The sequence below is a fragment of the Homo sapiens genome, chromosome 17 (genome assembly GCF_000001405.40).
Source record: "Homo sapiens chromosome 17, GRCh38.p14 Primary Assembly".
Classification (NCBI taxonomy): Eukaryota; Metazoa; Chordata; class Mammalia; order Primates; family Hominidae; genus Homo; species Homo sapiens.
The window spans coordinates 74,987,466-75,006,478 of NC_000017.11; the positions used below are offsets into that span (position 1 = coordinate 74,987,466).

The 19,013-nt window shown below is 53.7% G+C and overlaps 1 protein-coding gene across 2 annotated transcripts, besides 5 other annotated features; it reads left to right on the forward strand.

Annotated features, from left to right (window-relative positions):
* Positions 5-506: an enhancer, noted in NCBI's record as "H3K27ac hESC enhancer chr17:72983565-72984066 (GRCh37/hg19 assembly coordinates)". NCBI's record gives its function as "activates a minimal SCP1, AML or CMV promoter by ChIP-STARR-seq in naive H9 embryonic stem cells {active_cell/tissue: H9 hESC(naive)}" and the evidence as "EXISTENCE:reporter gene assay evidence [ECO:0000049][PMID:30033119]".
* Positions 73-152: a silencer, noted in NCBI's record as "silent region_8949". NCBI's record gives its function as "represses an Ori minimal core promoter by ATAC-STARR-seq in GM12878 lymphoblastoid cells {active_cell/tissue: GM12878}" and the evidence as "EXISTENCE:reporter gene assay evidence [ECO:0000049][PMID:35858748]".
* Positions 167-18,335, forward strand: CDR2L (cerebellar degeneration related protein 2 like). 2 transcript variants are annotated; one of them, NM_014603.3, is made up of 5 exons: positions 167-657; positions 12,039-12,151; positions 13,876-14,024; positions 14,599-14,763; positions 15,718-18,335. In NM_014603.3, the coding sequence occupies exons 1-5, from the start codon at positions 579-581 to the stop codon at positions 16,607-16,609; spliced, it is 1,398 nt and encodes a 465-aa protein (NP_055418.2). In that variant the 5' UTR covers positions 167-578; the 3' UTR covers positions 16,610-18,335. The 2 variants fall into 2 exon arrangements, with proteins under 2 accessions (NP_055418.2, XP_006721915.1); XM_006721852.3 differs by having other exon boundaries at positions 15,745-18,335.
* Positions 173-262: a silencer, noted in NCBI's record as "silent region_8950". NCBI's record gives its function as "represses an Ori minimal core promoter by ATAC-STARR-seq in GM12878 lymphoblastoid cells {active_cell/tissue: GM12878}" and the evidence as "EXISTENCE:reporter gene assay evidence [ECO:0000049][PMID:35858748]".
* Positions 6,007-6,508: an enhancer, noted in NCBI's record as "H3K4me1 hESC enhancer chr17:72989567-72990068 (GRCh37/hg19 assembly coordinates)". NCBI's record gives its function as "activates a minimal SCP1, AML or CMV promoter by ChIP-STARR-seq in primed H9 embryonic stem cells {active_cell/tissue: H9 hESC(primed)}" and the evidence as "EXISTENCE:reporter gene assay evidence [ECO:0000049][PMID:30033119]".
* Positions 6,509-7,008: an enhancer, noted in NCBI's record as "H3K4me1 hESC enhancer chr17:72990069-72990568 (GRCh37/hg19 assembly coordinates)". NCBI's record gives its function as "activates a minimal SCP1, AML or CMV promoter by ChIP-STARR-seq in primed H9 embryonic stem cells {active_cell/tissue: H9 hESC(primed)}" and the evidence as "EXISTENCE:reporter gene assay evidence [ECO:0000049][PMID:30033119]".
* Positions 18,336-19,013: the final 678 nt, after the last annotated feature.

Sequence of the window (19,013 nt, forward strand, 5' to 3'; positions counted from 1 at the left end):
GGGGGAAGTAGGACGAAAGGGTTGATCAAGCAATTCCCAGACCAAGACACCAGGAGGGTCCCGCCCTCGGCCCCGCCTCCAGCTTTGCATACATCTCCTGATTGGTCGGCGGCGGCAGGCCCCACCCCGCGGAGCCGAGCTCCGCAAGCTGCAGGCGGGCTCCGCCAAGATGCAGCGGCGGCTCCGGTTGTCGCCGGGCGGGCCAGGAGCAGCGCGGACCCGAGCCGGGCAGGGGGCGCCCGCCACGGCACCCGCGCGCTCCTAGCGCCCCAGACCCGCCTGCGGGCCCGGATCCTCCTTGCCACTGTCCCACCCGCCGTCCCTGCCACTCCACCCTTTGTGTCGCCGCAGCCCGGTGCCCCCGGCTCTGCGGGACCCCGGCCGGGCCGGACCCTGGCAAAGCGCCAGGCCCCGCGTGGGCTCCCGGCGAGCGGTTGATGGCGAGGGGGCGCGGCGCGGGCTCTGTAGCCCGAGTTCCCGACGCTGGAGGCCCGGCCCGCCTCAGCCGCATTGTCCCGGGCCGCGCGCACCGGCCCTGAGCTGCGCCGCCGCAGCACCCGCCCGCCGCCCGCGGGGCCATGCGGAGAGCCGCCGGGATGGAGGACTTCTCCGCGGAGGAAGAGGAGTCCTGGTACGACCAGCAGGACCTGGAGCAGGGTGAGCGCGGGGGCGACCGGGACAGGAAGGCGGGGAGCGCCCGGTGACCCCTGTCCGCTTCTCCATTGTTGGGCGCTATCACCCCGGGAGGGGCTGGGCTGGACCGGGCGCGCCCGACTCGGAGGAGGGACGCGTCTGGAGAACCGGGACGTGGAGAGAGGGGGCGCTGCCGGAGAAGACGCGGACCGGACGGGCGGAGACCTGCAAAAGTGGGGGGCGGGGGGCGGTCTTCCTATTTTCCCAGACGACCGGGCATCCGTCATCCAGCTCGCCCACCCCGTCCTGGAGGCAGCAACTGCTCGGCCGCCCCTGGTATTGTTACGGGGCCTGAGCGCTAGCTAGGAGTCTTCTGAGGCCGGGAGGCGGCTCCTTCGTCATGTTTTGCTGGGAGGGTGGCTTGTGTGTAGAGGGAAGTTATCTCACGCCAAATCCAGCAGCACCCGTCCCTGACAGGAATTATGAGCTCTAAGACTCCTAGAAAGTTTCCCTAACTCGCTTCCTACTCAGGGAGAAGTGGTACCGCGTCTTTGCTGGTGAAGAAGCAGAAAGTCAAGTCTCCCATCTGCCTTCGAGAGTCAGGAGTCGCTTAGCCCTCCCCTGCCCGGTCCCCTTGCAAATGGCTCATGGTTTGGAGGGGGTCAGGTTCGGGAATCCCGGCCAGTGTGCCAGGCGAGAGACCGAATAAAGAGGGATACATCTCCGCTGCCCCCAGTTGCCATCTGAGGACAGAAAGGGCGACTGGAAGGGGGTTAGAAGCTGGTGATGAGGTGGCCGAAATGACATCACTGGGAGTGGGGGGTGGGGCTGTTGGGACAGAAAGGAAGAGGAGGCCTGCTGGAGTGGAGTCAGTTCTATCCTCTCCTCCCCTAAGATGCCTCCTTCTTGGATGGTGAGAGCTGGAAGGGGCGAGGAAACATGTCCAGGGAGAAGTGACCTTCCCATGGCCTCCAGCAAGCTGGGGGGTGTGGACATAAGTCTGCTGCAGTTTGTGCCATTGTGGCCTGCTGTGGTGTGCCCACACCCTGGTCTCCATCCACAAGGCTCCAGAGGGCTGGCTTTGCCCTGATGTGCAGCAGCTATCCGGATTCTGAAGCCCCTGACCTACTTCCCCACATGGCCAAGACTGGCTGGCAGATGAGGCTCTGTCCTTGTGCTGAGGACAAGGGTTAATCATAGCCTCAGGGGGACCAGGGTGGGACTGGGGATGCTGGACTAGGCCCTGCCATGGTCTGTGCCCTGGACTCTGGCCTCAGCCTCCTTGGCTGAAATGAGATACAGCTCCTCTCAAACACACACACACACACACACACACACACACACACACATCCACACATTGTGACAACCCCCTCTCCCATCCTGGGCAGTAAATTTTTCCATGAACACCTATTAGGCTCCCCTTAAGTACCAGACACCATCCTGGGAGCTAGGAATAGTCACAGCCCTGACCCTGAAGGTATACCCTGGCAGGTGAAGGAGGCAGGCTTGTAACTAAGTGTAGGTGGCACAGTATTTTTTTCTTTTTTCTTTTTATTTATTTATTTATTTATTTTCAGACAGAGTCTCCCTCTGTCACCCAGGTTGGAGTGTAATGGTGCGATCTCAGCTCACTGCAACCTCCATCTCCCGGGTTCAAGTGATTCTCCTGCCTCAGCCTCCTGAGTAGCTGGGACCACACCTGGCTAATTTTTGTATTTTTAGTAGAGACAGGGTTTCACCATGTTGGCCAGGCTGCTCTCAAACTCCTGACCTCAGATGATCCACCCGCCTTGGCCTCCCGAAGTGCTGGGATTACAGGCGTGAGCCACCACGCCCGGCTGGTGGCACAGTATTATGGGCAGTGGGGAGGGCTTCCTGGAAGAGCCAGGCTTAGAAAGAAAGATCAGAAACTGAGTTCTTGAGAAGATGGTTTTCAGGGAGGCCGATGCCAATATTGTTGCTGTCTCACTTAATTCCTGCACCCCTAATGAAGGCTTTGGCACTGTTCCTGGCCCAGAAATGGGAAAGGAGCCAGGGCATAGAGGTGGGAGATGCGCAGAGATGTGCAGCTTCTTGAGAGAGAGAAGGATCTGAGACTCCAGCTGCGCTGGGTGGCCGTGCTCTGGGCTGCCGGGAGGGATGGGCCCGGCAGGCCTCTGCTTCTCTGGCCCTGCTGGTCTGCAGCTGTTGGCCTGGCCTGGCAGCTCCAATGGTAGCCAAAGGCCAGGAACCAGGAGGGAAAGCAGAAATGAGACAGAATAAACTGGAGCTTCCTGCCAAAAGCTGGATGTCTGCTTACTGTGGGCCAGGTACTGTGCTGAGCCTGAGGACATAATCTCTGCCCTCAGAGGACTCCACGTTACATTAGAGAAGACAGAAATAGGACCAAACTCACAATGGCGTCAGAGTGAGGGGTTCTGCAGCTGTAGGCCCAGCAACGGGGACAGCAGAGACTTAGAAAGGTTTATGCCAAGGCCCTTTTGAGCTGGAGGCTCCCCAGGAGAGGGAGGGAAGAAGGCATTCCAGGGGGAAGCGATGCTTGTACCAAGTCATGGAGCGACATGAGAAGGCTGGAAAATAGGGAGGGAGGGGCTGAAGGAAGCATCAGACACGGGTTCTGTGGGGCATTCCCGTGGGCCCTGCCCGCCCTGTGCCCCAGGGGCCAGGCATGGAGAGCTGGATGGTGGGACGGAGCACGGGCCAAAGGCCAGCCATATTGGGTGTCAAAGGCCTGTTGCATCTCCCAACCCACAAATTCTCTTCCACCCAGCTGCTCCCTGGTTGCCTGTGAGTGGCCCAGAAATGGTTTTCTCAGCCAGCCACCTGGTCTTCCCTCCTGTCTGTTTCCTCCTGCCCAAAGGGCAGGCCCTGATTCCACTTTCCAGAAGCTTGACTGTAGAGATCCTGTTTGGCTTTGATGCTCTGTCCTGGTGGAAAGCAGCCGTGGGACAAGTGAGGTCCTAGATTCTCGCTGTGTTCCCTCTGCCCACTGCCACGAGCATTTATAAAAATAGAAAAAGCCAGCTGGGCACAGCAGCTCACACCTGTAATCCCAGCACTTTGGGAGGCCAAGGCGGGCGGATCACCTGAGGTCGGGAGTTCGAGACTAGCCTGACCAACATGGAGAAACCCCGTCTCTACTAAAAATACAAAATTAGCCAGGCGTGGTGGCACATGCCTGTAATCCCAGCTACTCAGGAGGCTGAGCCAGGAGAATCTCTTGAACCCAGGAGGCAGAGGTTGCAGTGAGCTGAGATAGCTAGCGCCATTGCACTCCAGCCTGGGCAACAAGAGCAAACTCTGTCTTTAAAAAAAAAAAAAAAAAAAGCCTAGAAAGAGCCGGGCACGGTGGCTCACGCCTGTAATCCCAGCACTTTGGGAGGCCGAGGCGGATGGATCACAACATCAGGAGATCGAAACCATCCTGGCTAACACAGTGAAACCCCGTCTCTACTAAAAATACAAAAAATTAGCCGGGCGCGGTGGCGGGCGCCTGTAGTCCCAGCTACTCGGGAGGCTGATGCAGGAGAATGGTGTGAACCCGGGAGGCAGAGCTTGCAGTGAGCCAAGATCGCGCCACTGCACTCCAGCCTGGGCGACAGAGTGAGACTCTGTCTCAAAAAAAGAAAAAAAGAAAGAAAAAGCCATTAATTATTAAGCACTGGCACTCCCTCTTTCGGCCCACATTCCTCCCCTACCTTGGACCAGGCGTGGCAGGCCCTGTGCGTTCCTCTTTCCAGGCTGAGAGGCAGCTGCTGAGTCACAGATTTGAAGTCCTTGGTACCCGTGCTGTCCCCGCCTGCCTAGCTGACCTTGAGTCCTCAGCCTCAGGAGAGCTCTGACCTGGCAACGGGAGGGAGGTCCTGCCTCCACCCTGGTTACCCCAAAGGTGACCTGACCCTGATTCTGTGGACCCAGAGTGGCTGACAGTCGTGCCCTGGAGCTGAGAACAGGACCTCACAGCCCTGCCAGGTGGTACTTGTGTCCACAGCCTGGAGCCCACACCCCTACCTTTGTCCTCCCTGAAAATGTCCCCTCTCCCTTTGCTGAGTCTCTGCTCTGGAATCTGTGGTGCCCGAGCCAGTGAGGGACAGTGGGATTTCTAAGTTTCTTTTCAAAGACAGGCCCTGGGTTCCCCAGACATTCCTCCTCAGGCCTCTGGGGCATTGCTTCATGTAAAACCACTAAAACCTCCTGAAGGAGACCCCAGAAAACCCTGGGGTCCAGGCAGGGGAGGTGCCAACCCAGACTTAATGTTGTTTTTTTTTTTTCTTTTGACCTGCACAGTTCAAACCCATAGCCCAGACTTAGTACCTTCCCTCAGCTTGGTCCGGTGTGTCCCATTCATCCAGCTGTGACAGGTTGTTACTCCACTTTCACTTCCTGTCTAGCCAGCTCCCCCATTCTCCCGTTCCCAGGCCTCTCTCCTCTGAGCCTGGAGCCATCACCCACCCTCTGGTAGCTGGTGTCTTCTCCCTAGTACTTGGCTCCACTCAGTTCCCTGCTCTGCAACTTCTAGACTATTCCCTGATCCCTCCTGGCAGCTTTGACCAGCTTAGCTTGCGCTGTGATCCAGTTTCCCTAAAATGATCTGAGACCTGCCTCTCTGCCCCCAAACAGCTTCTATTGTGTTTCTCTTTCTACCTGTCCCTGAATCACTAGGTGGCCCAAGTCGATTCACTGCCTTCAAAGGGCAACCTTTGATGTCTCTGGTTTATAGGGTGGTATACCACCCTGGCCTGCCAGCATTAGAAATCTACACACAGCCCAGACACTAACCTGGAAGTGGGGGGTATGATGTTGCACTGCACTTGGCCTTTCTTCACTCACCTCTGATGCAGTGGCTTTGCACTCTAGTTAAGCTGCAGGGGCTCCATGAAGGCCACTTACTTGGAGCATGTCCTCCGACACCCACGGCAGGAGGTAGAATCAGTAGCAATGGCCTCTTTGCAGACCATGTAACAGTTTCCAAGGGGGAAAACATTTAGGAGAGTAGCCCTCTGATCTCTTTCATGTATATCTGAACTGCTGGATACTGTTCAGGATGAGCTAAATTTGAGTCCCACTATGGAAAACAGGAAGATAGCATGGCTGTCTCATCACAAACTGAAGGTGATCTTGCCCGGCTCCTGAGTCCTGAGTTACTGCCATGCGCACAATATAGTACAGGGCTGTAGTTCAATCTTTTTTTTTTTTCAAGACAGAGTCTTGGTCCATCGCCCAGGCTGGAGTTCAGTGGCACAATCTTGGCTCACTGCAACCTCCGCCTCCCAGGTTCAGGCAATTCTCCTGCCTCAGCCTTCTGAGTAGCTGAGATTACAGGTAAGCACCAGCACGCCCAGCTAATTAATTTTTTTGTAGAGACAGGGGTCTCACTATGTTGCCCAGTGCAATGATCTTTACATCAAACTTTACAATTTGTAGATACCTCCAGACTTTTGCCCAACTGACAGGTCATAAATTCATACAGCATATATCCGCATTCCCTTACTAGGTTTATGTTATGTAACTAGTTTTTTCTTGGCATCCTCATCAGAAGGTTAATTGCTCAAGGCTAAAAGTTCTTACCTATGATTTACATGATTTGGTTTCTTTGTTGTTGTTGTTGTTTTCAATGGCTGAGGAAGATGTTTGGGAAAGCTGCCTTTGTTTTTTCAGGCTAAGTTACTGCAGCCTTGCTCTAGGATAGCAGCTTTGCACTCCTTCTCCAGATGACACAGGGCCCTCCTTTGGCTAAAACCCAGCCCTGGAGGCTCCACTTTGGCTGTTTCAAAACCTCACCTCTGTGCACAGGATCAGACTCCGGATTTGTTCCTGTGGGGCAGTTCAGCCTTTATGTCCAGGCCCAGTGGCTGGTCTGGCCCCTCTGCCTCTCACAAGGCAATGTCAGTTCTGCCCCCAGCTTGGCTGAAGGCCCAAGGCTCTGCCCTCAGCTGCCCACCAAGAGTCACTGCTTGCCTGGGCTCATCCCAAAGGAAAACTTCCACCCCAGGTCTAGGTTTCTTTTCAAAGACATCCCTTGGGCTCCCCAGCTATTATTTCTCAGGCCTCTGTCCAATGCATAGCAAGGGCTCAGCCGAAACAACCGTATCTAGGAAACTTTCTGTCCGGGAGTATAGAGCCTATCCGTCCTCCAGAGACCCTAGAACTATCACTATGTCTAAAAAGGGAAAGCAGTAGAGAACTGGATCCCTGAACCACATCATATTGGCCCCAGTAGAGTTGCCTTTATGCATCTTGATCTGATTTACATCGTCAGCCTAGATTGAGAGCTGTTTTAAGAAGCAGCCTCATAAAATGAAACAGACCAGTGCTTTCCTGGACAGTCTTTTGACAGAATGCCTCAAGAAGGCCTACCTTTTGTCCCAGGAATTGTATTTCTAGGAATTCTGTATCTAGGCCTACCTTTTGTTCCAGGTACCTAGGCTTACCCTTTGTTCAAGGAATTCTGTGTCCTAAGGAATTGGGCGGTGATTTGCACAAAACGTTTTGTACAACAAAGTTAATTAGTTTCATTCTTTTTTTTTCAGAGATAGGGTCTTGCTTTGTCTCACTGGAATGCAGTGTTGCAATCATAGATGACTCTAATCTGAAACTCCTGGACTCAAGCAGTCCTCCCACATCAACTTCTCTAGTAGCTGCGACCACAGACATGCACCACCATGCCCGGCTAATTTTACAATTTTTTTGTAGAGATGGGGTCTCGGGTAGGGCGCGATCCCAACACCTTGGGAGGCTGAAGTGGGCGGATCACGAGGTCAAGAGATCGAGACCATCCTGGCCAACATGGTGAAACCCCGTCTCTACTAAAAATACAAAAATTAGCTGGGCGTGGTAGCACGCGCCTGTAGTCCCAGCTACTCGGGAGGGTGAGACAGGAGAATTGCTTGAACTTGGGAGGCAGAGGTTGCAGAGTGAGCCAAGATCTCATCACTGCACTCCAGCCTGGCGACAGAGTGAGACTCAGTCTCAAAAAAAAAAAAAAAAGAGATGGGGTCTCACTGTGTTTCCCAGGCTAGTCTCTAACTTTTGGCCTCAAGCTATCCTCTCACCTCAGCCTTCCAAAGCACTGGGATTACAAGCATGAGCCACTGTGCCCAGTCTACACTTTCTTTTTTTTTTTTTTCTTTTTGACAATGTCTCACTCTGTCACCCAAGCTGGAGTCCAGTGGCACAATCACAGCTCACCAAGTAGCTGGGACTACAGGTGTATGCCACCACACCCCACTAATGTTCTTATTTTTTGTAAAGACAGGGTCTCATTATATTGCCCAGGCTGGTCTTGAACTCCTTTACTAAAGCAATCCTCCCACCTCGGCCTCCCAAAGTGCTGGGATTACAGGCGTGAGCCACCATACCCGGCCTGGCCTCTAATTTTTAAATCACCAGTTTGTTGTTGTTGTTTGTTTGTTTGTTTTGTTTTTTTGAGACAGGGTCTCTCTCTGTCACCCAGGCTGGAGTGCAGTGGCACAATCTCGGCTCACTGCAACCTGTTTCCCAGGTTCAAGTGATCCTCCTGCCTCAACTTCCCAAGTAGCTGGGACCACAGGCACATGCCACCACGCCTGGCTAATTTTTGTTTTTAGTAGAGACAGGGTTTTACCATGTTGGCCAGGCTGGTCTCGAACTCCTGACTTCAAGTGATCCACCCTCCTCGGCCTCTCAAAGTGCTGGGATTATAGGCATGAGCCACTGCACCCGGCCTAAATCACCAGTTTTTAACCTTTCTGTACTGTTTGATTTTTTTACACCAATCATGCCTTATGAAAAACATTAAAGCTATTTTAAAAAGAAAACAGCCTTGTGAAACTCAGCCTCAGCCTGCTCTAACGACCTCTTTGAGGACCCGCTCTCTCCCACCCTTCTCCGTCTCTGGATTAAGCTGCCTAAATCTTTTTTTTTTTTGACAGATTTATTGAGATTTAATTAACACACAATACAATTCACTCATTTAAAGTGTGCAACTCAACAGTTTTTATTATATTCACAAAGTTATGCAACCATCACCACAATCAATTTTAGAATATTTTTATCACCCTGCCTCGTTTTAGAAACAAAAAACAGGCCAGGCACAGTGACTCACACCTGTAATTCCAGCACTTTGGGAGGCCGAGGTGGGTGGATTGTTTGAGGTCAGGAGTTTGAGACCAGCCTGACCAACATGGTGAAACCCCATCTCTATTAAAAATACAAAAATTAGCTGGATGTGGTTGTAGGCGACTGCAATTCCAGCTACTTGGGAGGCTGAGGCAGGAAAATAGCTTGAACCCGGGAGGCGGAGGTTGCAGTGAGCCGAGATTGCCCCACTGCTCTCCAGCCTGGGAGACAAAGCGAGACTCCGTCTCAAAAAAAAAAAAAAAAGAAACAAAAAATAATAAATATATTTAATATACATATGTGTGTTGTTGGGAGGATTGTATCCACTCCAAATGTCTAGCTATCATCACACAACTCAGACCCACCAAGAGAATTTTTAGGGATTTTAGTACCTGCCGTTTCCTTCTAACTCCTTCTCTCTACCCGCCCATCCCCCACAACATCCCCCTAAAAACAGACAGATTCCCTCCTAGCCTATCTGATGGGTCCTCATTTCCCTTGGACTGGGGTCAGGGAGGGAAGGTTCCAATCCTACAGGGTACAAGCACCAGGGCTGTTGGGGGAAGAGGATGTTTCTGCTCCTCAGGGAAAGAAGGTTTGAGAGCTGGGCACATGTCACTAGGGTCAAATGGTACCCAACCAGGAGCCCGATACCTGAATTCTCCCCCTAGCGTGGACATAAACCAGCTGGGTGACCATGGGCAAGTCACTCTGCTGTCCTGCTCATTATCCATAAAATCAAGAAGTTGGGCCAAGAAGTTCTGAATCATCTTCCAGTTTTAATATTCAGCAAGCCCTTCTGCTCTCTCTGCCTCTCAGCAAGCTCCTATTCACCCTTTTCTTTCTTTCTTTCTTTCTTTCTTTCTTTCTTTCTTTCTTTCTTTCTTTCTTTTTTTTTTTTGAGACTGAGTCTCGCTCTGTTACTCAGGCTGGAGTGCAGTGGCACGATCTCGGCTCACTGCAACCTCTGCCTCCCAGGTTCAAGCGATTCTTCTGCCTCAGCCTCCCAAGTAGCTGGGATTACAGGCTTGCGCCACCACACCCAGCTAATTTTTATATTTTTAGTGGAGATAGGATTTCACCATGTTGGCCTGGCTGGTCTCAAACTCCTGACCTCAAGTGATCTTCCCACTTTGGCCTCCCAAAGTGCTGGGATTACGGCGTGAGCCACCGCACCCAGCCTCCTATCCACCCTTCAAAGTCCAACTCGAAAGCTGTCCATTTGCCTGAGCCTCCCGGGGAGAGTGAAGCTCTCCCTTGCCCATCACCCCACGGCACCTTGCCCCTATGTCCGTCCATGCTCTTATCACTCACTTAATCTTCCAAAAAGACAAATTATGCACTGATTCTGTCCTAGATACTGTCCTGGGTCCTGGGGATATTCATGAGCAAAACATAAAAATCCCTGCCCTGCCAGGTGCGGTGGCTCACGCCTGTAATACCAGCATTTTGAGGCCAAGGTAGGAGGGTCGCTTGAGGCCAGGAGTTCAATACTAGCCTGGGCAATATAACAAGACCCTGTCTCTACAAAAAAAATTTAAGAATTTTAGCCCAGGTGTGGTGGCTTATGCCTGTAATCCCAGCATTTTGGGAGGCCTGAGATCAGGAGTTCAAGACCAGCCTGGCCGACATGGTGAGACCCCCTCTCTACTAAAAATACAAAAAATTAGCCGGGCGTGGTAGTGGGTGCCTGTAATCCCGGCATAAAAAAGATTTTAGAAGTTAAAAAAAAAAAAAAAAAAGTACCGGGCACGGTGGCTCACGCCTGTAATCCCAGCACTTTGGGAGGCCGAGGCGGGTGGATCACGAGGTCAGGAGATTGAGACCATCCTGGCTAACACGGTGAAACCCCGTCTCTACTAAAAATAAAAAAAAATTAGCCAGGCATGGTGGCGGGCGCCTGTAGTCTCAGCTACCTGGGAGGCTGAGGCAGGAGAATGGTTAGCGTGAACCTGGGAGGCGGAGGTTGCAGTGAGCCAAGATCGCGCCACTGCACTCCAGCCTGAGCAAAAAGAGCAAAACTCCGTCTCAAAAAAAAAACATTGTACTATTCCTGTAGTCCCAGCAACCGATATTATAGTCCCACGCCTATTCACAGGCATGATCATATACACTGTAGCCTTGAGTTCCTGGGCTCAAGGGATCCTATCCCAGGCAGCCGTATTGCACCACCTTTCTTTTTTTTTTAATAGAGATGAGGTCTCACTATGTTGCCCTGGGAGGCTGAGGGAGGAAGATCGTTGAGCCCAGGAGTTCAAGGCTGCAGCACATATGATCACACCTGTGAATACTCACTGCACCCCAGCCTGGGTCCCATCCCTTAAAAGAAAAAAAAAACTGCCCCATGAGCTCACAGTTAGTTGGGGGAGCTGAAAAAGATAAAGGAGTAACTTGCTTGGGAAATTAGATGGTGCTAAGTGCTAAGGAGAAAGATGAAGCGGGGGAGAGACTGCAGGGCAGGGAACAGTGTGACTTTGAATCAAGTGATTGGGGAAAGATCTAGAGAAGTTGACAGGCACAGACTTGAAGGAGAAGAGGGAACAAGTCCTGGAAGTATCAGGAAAGAATATTCCGTGCGTGAGGCTGGCTTCTGGGTTGTCCACACCACTCTCTGCTGTGTTGACTTCCTGTTGTCTTCATCAAAGCTTTTTTCCGTGGTATTCTAAAATTAGGCCAGCAGTGGGGCTGGGAGGGCATCTGTGTTAGTCCCTTCCTGGCTGTGATCCGCCACACTCACTGTCAGTATTAAGGCCCAGCAGCCTGTTGATAAGCTACGCTGTCTCACCATGCGCTGGTGTGGAAACAGGGCCCAGCCAGCATGCCTCAAGGTAGATGGAATCCCCACTGGTCAGAGAAGAAGCCATGCGGACACTCCAGCTTGGCCTGGGCACAGCACTGACTCCTCACCCGCTAGTCTGGCTGTTAAGAGGAGAAGGTGCACTGCCTTCCAGCCTAGGAGGAGGACAGCATTTTGTATTTGTTCCACTGATGCAGCTTAGAACCACACCCCTGAGAATCGTGGCAAAACTTTCACAACCTGGAAAATGTTGAAAGCAACCATTCCTATTTTTGTTTGTTTTTTATTACATCTTGCACACACACACACACACACACACACACAGACACACACAAAAAGAACATTCCAGGCAGAAATAACAGTGCAAAGGCTTAGCTCCTGGCTTACCTCTCCTCCCAGGCCTGGAGGCTCCCAGTGTCTTGGTTACATTGGGGTCACCTAGAGTAGATGCTCGGAACATGAATGGGCGTCCTCTGCCTTTGTTCTCATGCTCGTGTTTCTCCTATCCTAGACTTGCACCTAGCTGCGGAGCTGGGGAAGACTCTGCTGGAGAGGAACAAGGAGCTGGAGGGGTCCCTGCAGCAGATGTACTCCACCAATGAGGAACAGGTGCAGGAGATCGAGGTGAGGGCCCTGCATGTGCTTGCCCACACCCCTCGAGGGCCCCTTGGCCTGTGTGTGCCTTTATGCAACTTAGAATAAGGTGCCAGCTTATCGGACACAGCCTTAGCCCAATAGCCTGGTACAGTTCACAACTGTGCTATCCTGTACAAGGATAGCACAGCTATCTCAGGCAGCCCTATTGCACAACTAGATTTTTTTTTTTTTTAAATAGACACCAAGTCTCACCATGTTGCCCAGGCTGGTCTCTAACTCCTGAGCTCAAGTGATCCTCCCACCTCAGCGTCCTAAAGTGCTAGGATTACAGGCATGAGCCACCAGGCCCAGCCTGAACCACCATTTTTAAGCCCCACTCAGCTGAAGACAAATACATCAAAGCAAACTTGTCCTTAGAAGGGGAGAAGGGGCTGCTGGCTCATGCTTGTAATCCCAGCACTTTGGGAGGCCAAGGTGGGTGAAATACTTGAGCCCAGGCAACATGGCGAAACCTTGTCTCTATAAAAAATACAAAAATTAGCTGGCTATGGTGGCATAAGCCTGTGGTCCCAGCTACTCAAGAGGATGAAGTGAGAGGATTGCTTGAGCCTGGAGGTTGAGGCTGCAGTGAGCCGTGATTGTGCCACTGCACTCCAGCCTAGGCAACAGAGCGAGACCCTGTCTTAAAAATAAATAAATAAAATAAATAAGATTTATTTCTTTTTTGAAATGGAGTCTCACTCTGTCACCCAGGCTGGAGTGCAGTGGCGCGATCTGGGCTCACTGCAGCTCTGCCTCCCGGGTTCACGCCATTCTCCTGCCTCAGCCTCCTGAGTAGCTGGGACTACAGGCGCCCACCACCGCACCCGGTTAATTTTTTTTGTATTTTTAGTAGAGACGAGGTTTCACTGTGTTAGCCAGGATGGTCTCCATCTCCTGACCTCGTGATCTGCCCGCCTCAGCCTCCCAAAGTGCTGAGATTACAGGTGTGAGCCATCACGCCGGGCATAAAAAAGATTTTAGAAGTTAAAAAAAAAAAAAAAGGCCGGGCACAGTGGCTCACACCTGTAATCCTAGCACTTTGAGAGGCCAAGGCGGGCAGATCACGAGGTCAGGAGATCGAGACCATCCTGGCTAACACGGTGAAACCCCATCTCTACTAAAAATGCAAAAAATTAGCCAGGCATGGTGGTGGGCACCAGTAGTCCCAGCTACTCAGGAGGCTGAGGCAGGAGAATGGTTGGCGTGAACCCAAGAGGTGGAGCTTGCAGTGAGCCGATGTCGCGCCACTGCACTCCAGCCTGGGCGAGAGAGCAAGACTCCGTCTCAAAAAAAATAAATTAATTAATTTAAAAAAAAAAGAGGCTGGCGTGGTGGTGCATGCCTATAATCCCAGCCCTTTGGGAGGCAGAGGTAGGCAGATCACTTGAGGTCAGGAGTTCAAGACCAACCTGGCCAATATAGTGAAACCCTGTCTCTACTAAAAATACCAAAATTAGCCAGGCATGGTGGCAGGCACCTATAGTTCCAGCTACTCAGGAGGCTGAAGCATGAAAATCACTTGAACCCAGGAGGCAGAGGTTGCAGTAAGCCGAAATCATGCCACTGCACTTCAGCCTGGGCAACACAGTGAGACTCTGTATCAAAAGAAAAGAAAAGAAAAAAGACAAAAAAAGAAGTAGGAGGGTCTAGGCAGAGACATTTGCCCCTGCCCAATTCTAAAAAGTTACTCAATGTCCTTCCACCCCCAGTACCTAACCAAGCAGCTGGACACGCTGCGGCACGTGAACGAGCAGCACGCCAAAGTCTATGAGCAGCTGGACCTGACAGCCCGGGACCTGGAGCTGACCAACCACAGGCTGGTGCTGGAGAGTAAGGCTGCCCAGCAGAAGATCCATGGGTGAGGGCCCGGCTGAGGGCTGGGGGGCGGGCGAGGGAGAGCCCCAGGGCTGAGTGTACACAGGGGCCCATGGACTGATGGGTGTGACTTGTGCACGTCTCCCTAGGAACCGGGGATGGGAGTGAGCTTGTCCTTGTCGATTTTGTGTGGTTTAACATTCAGGCCGCAACCTTGCTTTAAGCACCAACTATGCACCAGGCTCTTCTTTAGACACTGGGGATGCAACGATGGGGAAACAAAGACATTGTCCTGCCCTCTAATACCTCACAGCCTGGAAGAGAAGGCAGGCATGTAAATATTTTATGGCAGTGCAGGACAATAAGTGATAGAGGAGTGACAAGGAACTGAGGTGGCACAGAGGAGAAGCGATCAGCTCGCCTGAGAGGTACAAAAGAAGGGCGGGTCCTTGGGCATGCATAGAATTCCCCATCCTACCTCAGGACCAGACAGCGGCTCAAGGGTACCTGTCTGCCTCCTACCCAACGTCCCTCCATCTTCAGGGAGCCAGGGCTGCCGTGAGGCAAACTGGCCCCATCCCCTTAAAGTCCCTGTGTGTCCACCACCCCGCCCCCAGGCTGACGGAGACCATTGAGCGCCTCCAGGCTCAGGTGGAGGAGCTGCAGGCCCAGGTGGAGCAACTGAGAGGCCTGGAACAGCTGCGAGTGCTCCGGGAGAAGCGGGAACGCAGGCGTACCATCCACACCTTCCCCTGCCTCAAGGAGCTGTGCACCAGCCCCCGGTAGGTGAGAGCACTGCTTGGTGTCTCTGGGATTGCCAGCCATGGGAGGAAGGAGAGGCAGCAGGCAGCAGGGTGCAGTTGGTGCATCATCCAGGCCATCAGAGAGACTGGTCCTGTTGCTAATGACAGTCACAGCAGCTGGCGTTTACTGAGCCCTGGCTGTGTGCTGCCACTATGCTGATATAATTCTTATTGCAACACTGTTGGGGGTGTTTTATTATGCCTACTCTCCAGATGATAAAACTGAAGCCCAGAGGTTGTGTGTCTTATCCAAGGTCACCTGTTTAGTAAGAGGCTCAGCCAGCATGCTAACCCAGGAGGGGTAACCCACTGTGCTTTTCAGTTCCCATTAAATCTAACACTAGACAACCACTTAATAATGGAAAAATACATGTGTCATATGTAGTGGGTGTTTCAATAAGGGTCCTGGCAGGAAACAGTCTCTTACACAGAGTAATGGAGAAGTTAAATGAAGAAGAGGTGTGGGCAGGGGGTAGGGAAACCACAGGGACACTATAGTGCCCCAGGGTTGCAGCAGAGAGGAGCTGCCACCAGCCCTAGGCCTCAAAGCGCAAGGGGGAAGGGAGGTTACCGGCACCTGGAAGGTATGGAGAAGGCTGCCTGGTCACCATTAACCATGGAGAGCCCAAAGAAGACACACCCCACGGCCTCTGCTCCCCCCTCGGACCTCTAGCCAGTGCCTCTCATGGGCCAAGCTCAGGAGAGAACCAGGCAACCTGACAGAGGCGGTCCGTAGTGGTCAGCCTCCGGGGGCAGAGAGCAGGGGGAGAAGGGTGGAGGAGGGTGGAGAGCCAACGGAGAGGGGCAAACAATTTCAGCCCAGAGAACAAGAGAGATGTAAGCGCCCTGGCTGGGCTGCTCGGCCTTGGCCGTGCCCGTGACCACTGCCCTCTCCTCCGCCCCCACCCCGCTGCGACTCTCACTACCCGCCAGGTGCAAGGATGCTTTCCGCCTACACAGTTCCTCCCTGGAGCTGGGCCCGCGGCCCCTGGAGCAGGAGAACGAGCGGCTGCAGACCCTGGTGGGGGCGCTGCGCTCCCAGGTGAGCCAGGAGCGGCAGCGCAAGGAGCGGGCGGAGCGCGAGTACACCGCGGTGCTGCAGGAGTACTCGGAGCTGGAGCGCCAGCTGTGCGAGATGGAGGCCTGTCGCCTGCGTGTGCAGGAGCTGGAGGCCGAGCTGCTGGAGCTGCAGCAGATGAAGCAGGCCAAGACCTACCTACTGGGTCCGGACGACCACCTGGCCGAGGCCCTGCTCGCACCCCTCACGCAGGCCCCTGAGGCCGACGATCCCCAGCCCGGCCGCGGGGACGACTTGGGCGCCCAGGACGGGGTCTCCTCACCGGCAGCCTCTCCAGGCCACGTGGTGCGCAAGAGCTGCAGCGACACTGCGCTCAACGCCATCGTGGCCAAAGACCCAGCCAGCCGGCACGCGGGCAACCTCACACTGCACGCCAACAGCGTGCGCAAGCGGGGCATGTCCATCCTGCGGGAGGTGGACGAGCAGTACCACGCGCTGCTGGAGAAGTACGAGGAGCTGCTGAGCAAGTGCCGGCAGCACGGGGCCGGAGTGCGGCACGCCGGCGTGCAGACCTCGCGCCCCATCTCCCGGGACAGCTCGTGGAGGGACCTGCGCGGGGGTGAGGAGGGCCAGGGTGAGGTCAAGGCAGGAGAGAAGAGCCTGAGCCAGCACGTGGAGGCCGTGGACAAGCGGCTGGAACAGAGCCAGCCCGAGTACAAGGCGCTCTTCAAAGAGATCTTCTCCAGGATCCAGAAGACCAAGGCTGACATCAACGCCACCAAAGTCAAGACGCACAGCAGCAAGTGACCCTTCTCCGGCCTGCAGCCTCCCCCAGGGTGGAAGCCGTGGGGTCCCTCAGGCCTGGGCGGTGCAGCTTCCAGAGAGCGAGCGCCCTTTAGCGGCCTGCCACCACAGCACGCGGCCTCCTGATCCGGAAGCACGCAGCATGTTCCCTGCTGAGCGGAGGCAGCCCACCTGTCCTGCCTCCCAGGAGCCCTTGGCCACCTCGCGCCAGCCCAAAGGCGCAGCTCTGAGTTCAAAGCCAAATGTCCCCACTACCCCAGGGATCCCCCAGCTCCCCCAGCCCCTGGCTTCCTGACCCTGCGCCTCACCCTCAGACTGGTGACCAGGCTTCTGAAAGCCATTCTGGATCAGTTGGCTTTTTTTTTTTTTTTGGTTAAGTTTGTTTTTTCTAAGAGATTTGCAATGCAAGGTCTCCTTGACCCCTTGCCACAACTGGAAACACTTGAAAGGGGACCCCAGGGCCAGCTGTTTCAGGGGTTTCCTGGACCACCCACTGCTTCTCCCCAACCCTGATGCGCTGACATTCCCTTAGCACCAGCTGTCCCACCTCCAGGGTCCTGACCAGGTCAGAGATGTCCCCTGCCATGCAGAGCAGGAAGCCTCAGCTGGGCCTGGAGTGTCCCTGCTCCAGCCCTGCCAGGGACAGGTTTCTCCCTGGATACTCTTGGCCCACCGCAGATCTGTAGCCAGTCAGAGGAGGAGGAGAAGGAGCCCCTCAGCAGAGTGGTGCAGTTTCGCTCAGAGCTTGTCTCCTTGGCTTCCAACCCCAGAAATGCCTGCTGGGCCTTAAGCTTTCCAGGGGCCGGGGCAGTGGGGAGCCCCCATCCCTTCACACCGCCACCAACTAACCAAGCTTGGCCTCTGACTCCCGTCTCTGTGCTTGCCCCCATCTCAGGGACCATGATGTCTCAGTCACTCCACGCTCCCCACAGGCCAACCCTGGCACAGGTCATGTCTGCAGCCCCCAGAATGTTCTGGACATGCACCACCAGCCGGTGGTCCCAATGTCCACCCCTGCCTCCCCTTCACTGGGGACTGGGGTTTTCGCCCCATGCTGCATCGTGTTGTATTGGGATGGGGCTGAGGAACATGCTCCCTCCCTCCCTCCCATAAAATGCCTGCTCTTCACCTCCCACCTTTGTGGGGGGCTTTTGAGGACCCAGCTGCGTCAGGAGTTTTGCTTCAAGATGTCAGAAAGTCAAGTTCAGCTAAGAGACACCCAGGTCCCCAGCTTGCCCTGAGCAGCCCTTCAGGGCTTCTGGTTCCTTCTGCCGCCCTTCCTGAGACCTTAGAAACCAGAAGAGCCATACAGTCAGTGGAAGGCGGGGGGGCCCTGGCCTCTGCACCGGGATCCCAGTGGGAACCTTCATGCCTTATTTATTTCTAATGGGTAAAGGGGTTTTCTTACCAAGCATCCCTGACCTCCTGGAGACACCACCTGCTTTCCGGGCGGCACTGTGATGGGAGCTGGTGGCGACTGAGTCCTTCTGTACGTGCAACTGGGAAACTTTTGTCCTTTGAGGCTAGGCAGCTCCCTGCCCTCCGTGTGTGTCTGTTATCTGGGGGAGAGGAGTGTGGAAGGGTTGGGGGAAGAGCTCCAGCCTGTCTGCTCCCCAGCTCTGTAGTGGCAGACCAGCGTCACCTTTGAAGTATACGTGAGAGAAATATATTTACAAATGCTTTATTCTCTTCTTTAATAAAAAATGCACCAGTATTCTAAAAGCAAAAATGGCCCATCTCTGTGCATCTCACACACCTGCCTCGCGTCACGCCCAGCCATGGGAGAGGGTAACATCCTGTGTCCCACTTCCCTGAGACTGAACAGCTCCAAATAGCAGGCTCTGGCAGAAGTTTCTATATTTATTGAGGGCCAGCTAGGGATACATGGTGAACAAGCCAGCAGGGCCCCTCTTCCCTTGGAGTTTATATTCTGGTGTGGGGAGATCCACCCAAAATAAACAAACAAAAGATACGGCATGATGGAAAAATCGGGGCAAGAGGGTAGTGCTACCTCAGCTAGAGCACGTGGGCCCAACAGGGTGAACCAAGTTAAAAAAAAAAAAAAAATCGGCCTGGCGCGGTGGCTCATGCCTGTAATCCCAGCCCTTTGGAAGGCCAAAGTGGATTGCTAGAGCCCAGAAGTTTGAGACCAGCCTGGGCAACATAGCAAGACCCCCTTTCTACAAAACATTTTTTGAAAATTAGCAGAGCATGGTGGTGTGCATTTGTAGTCCCAGCTACTCAGGAGGCTGAGGTGGGAGGATCACGAGCCTGGGAGGTCAAAGCTGAAGTGAACTATGATCATACCACTGCACTCCAGCCTGGGCAACAGAGCGAGACCCTGTCTCAAAAAATCATATCTAGATATATAAATACAGCACATGAAGAGATATACAGTGTTACTAAA

Coding starts and splice junctions, on each gene's coding strand:
- CDR2L (NM_014603.3), top strand. CDS start 579: ATGCGGAGAGCCGCCGGGATGGAGGACTTCTCCGCGGAGGAAGAGGAG. Junction 658..12,038: donor CCAGCAGGACCTGGAGCAGG/GTGAGCGCGGGG, acceptor CTCCTATCCTAG/ACTTGCACCTAGCTGCGGAG. Junction 12,152..13,875: donor AACAGGTGCAGGAGATCGAG/GTGAGGGCCCTG, acceptor TTCCACCCCCAG/TACCTAACCAAGCAGCTGGA.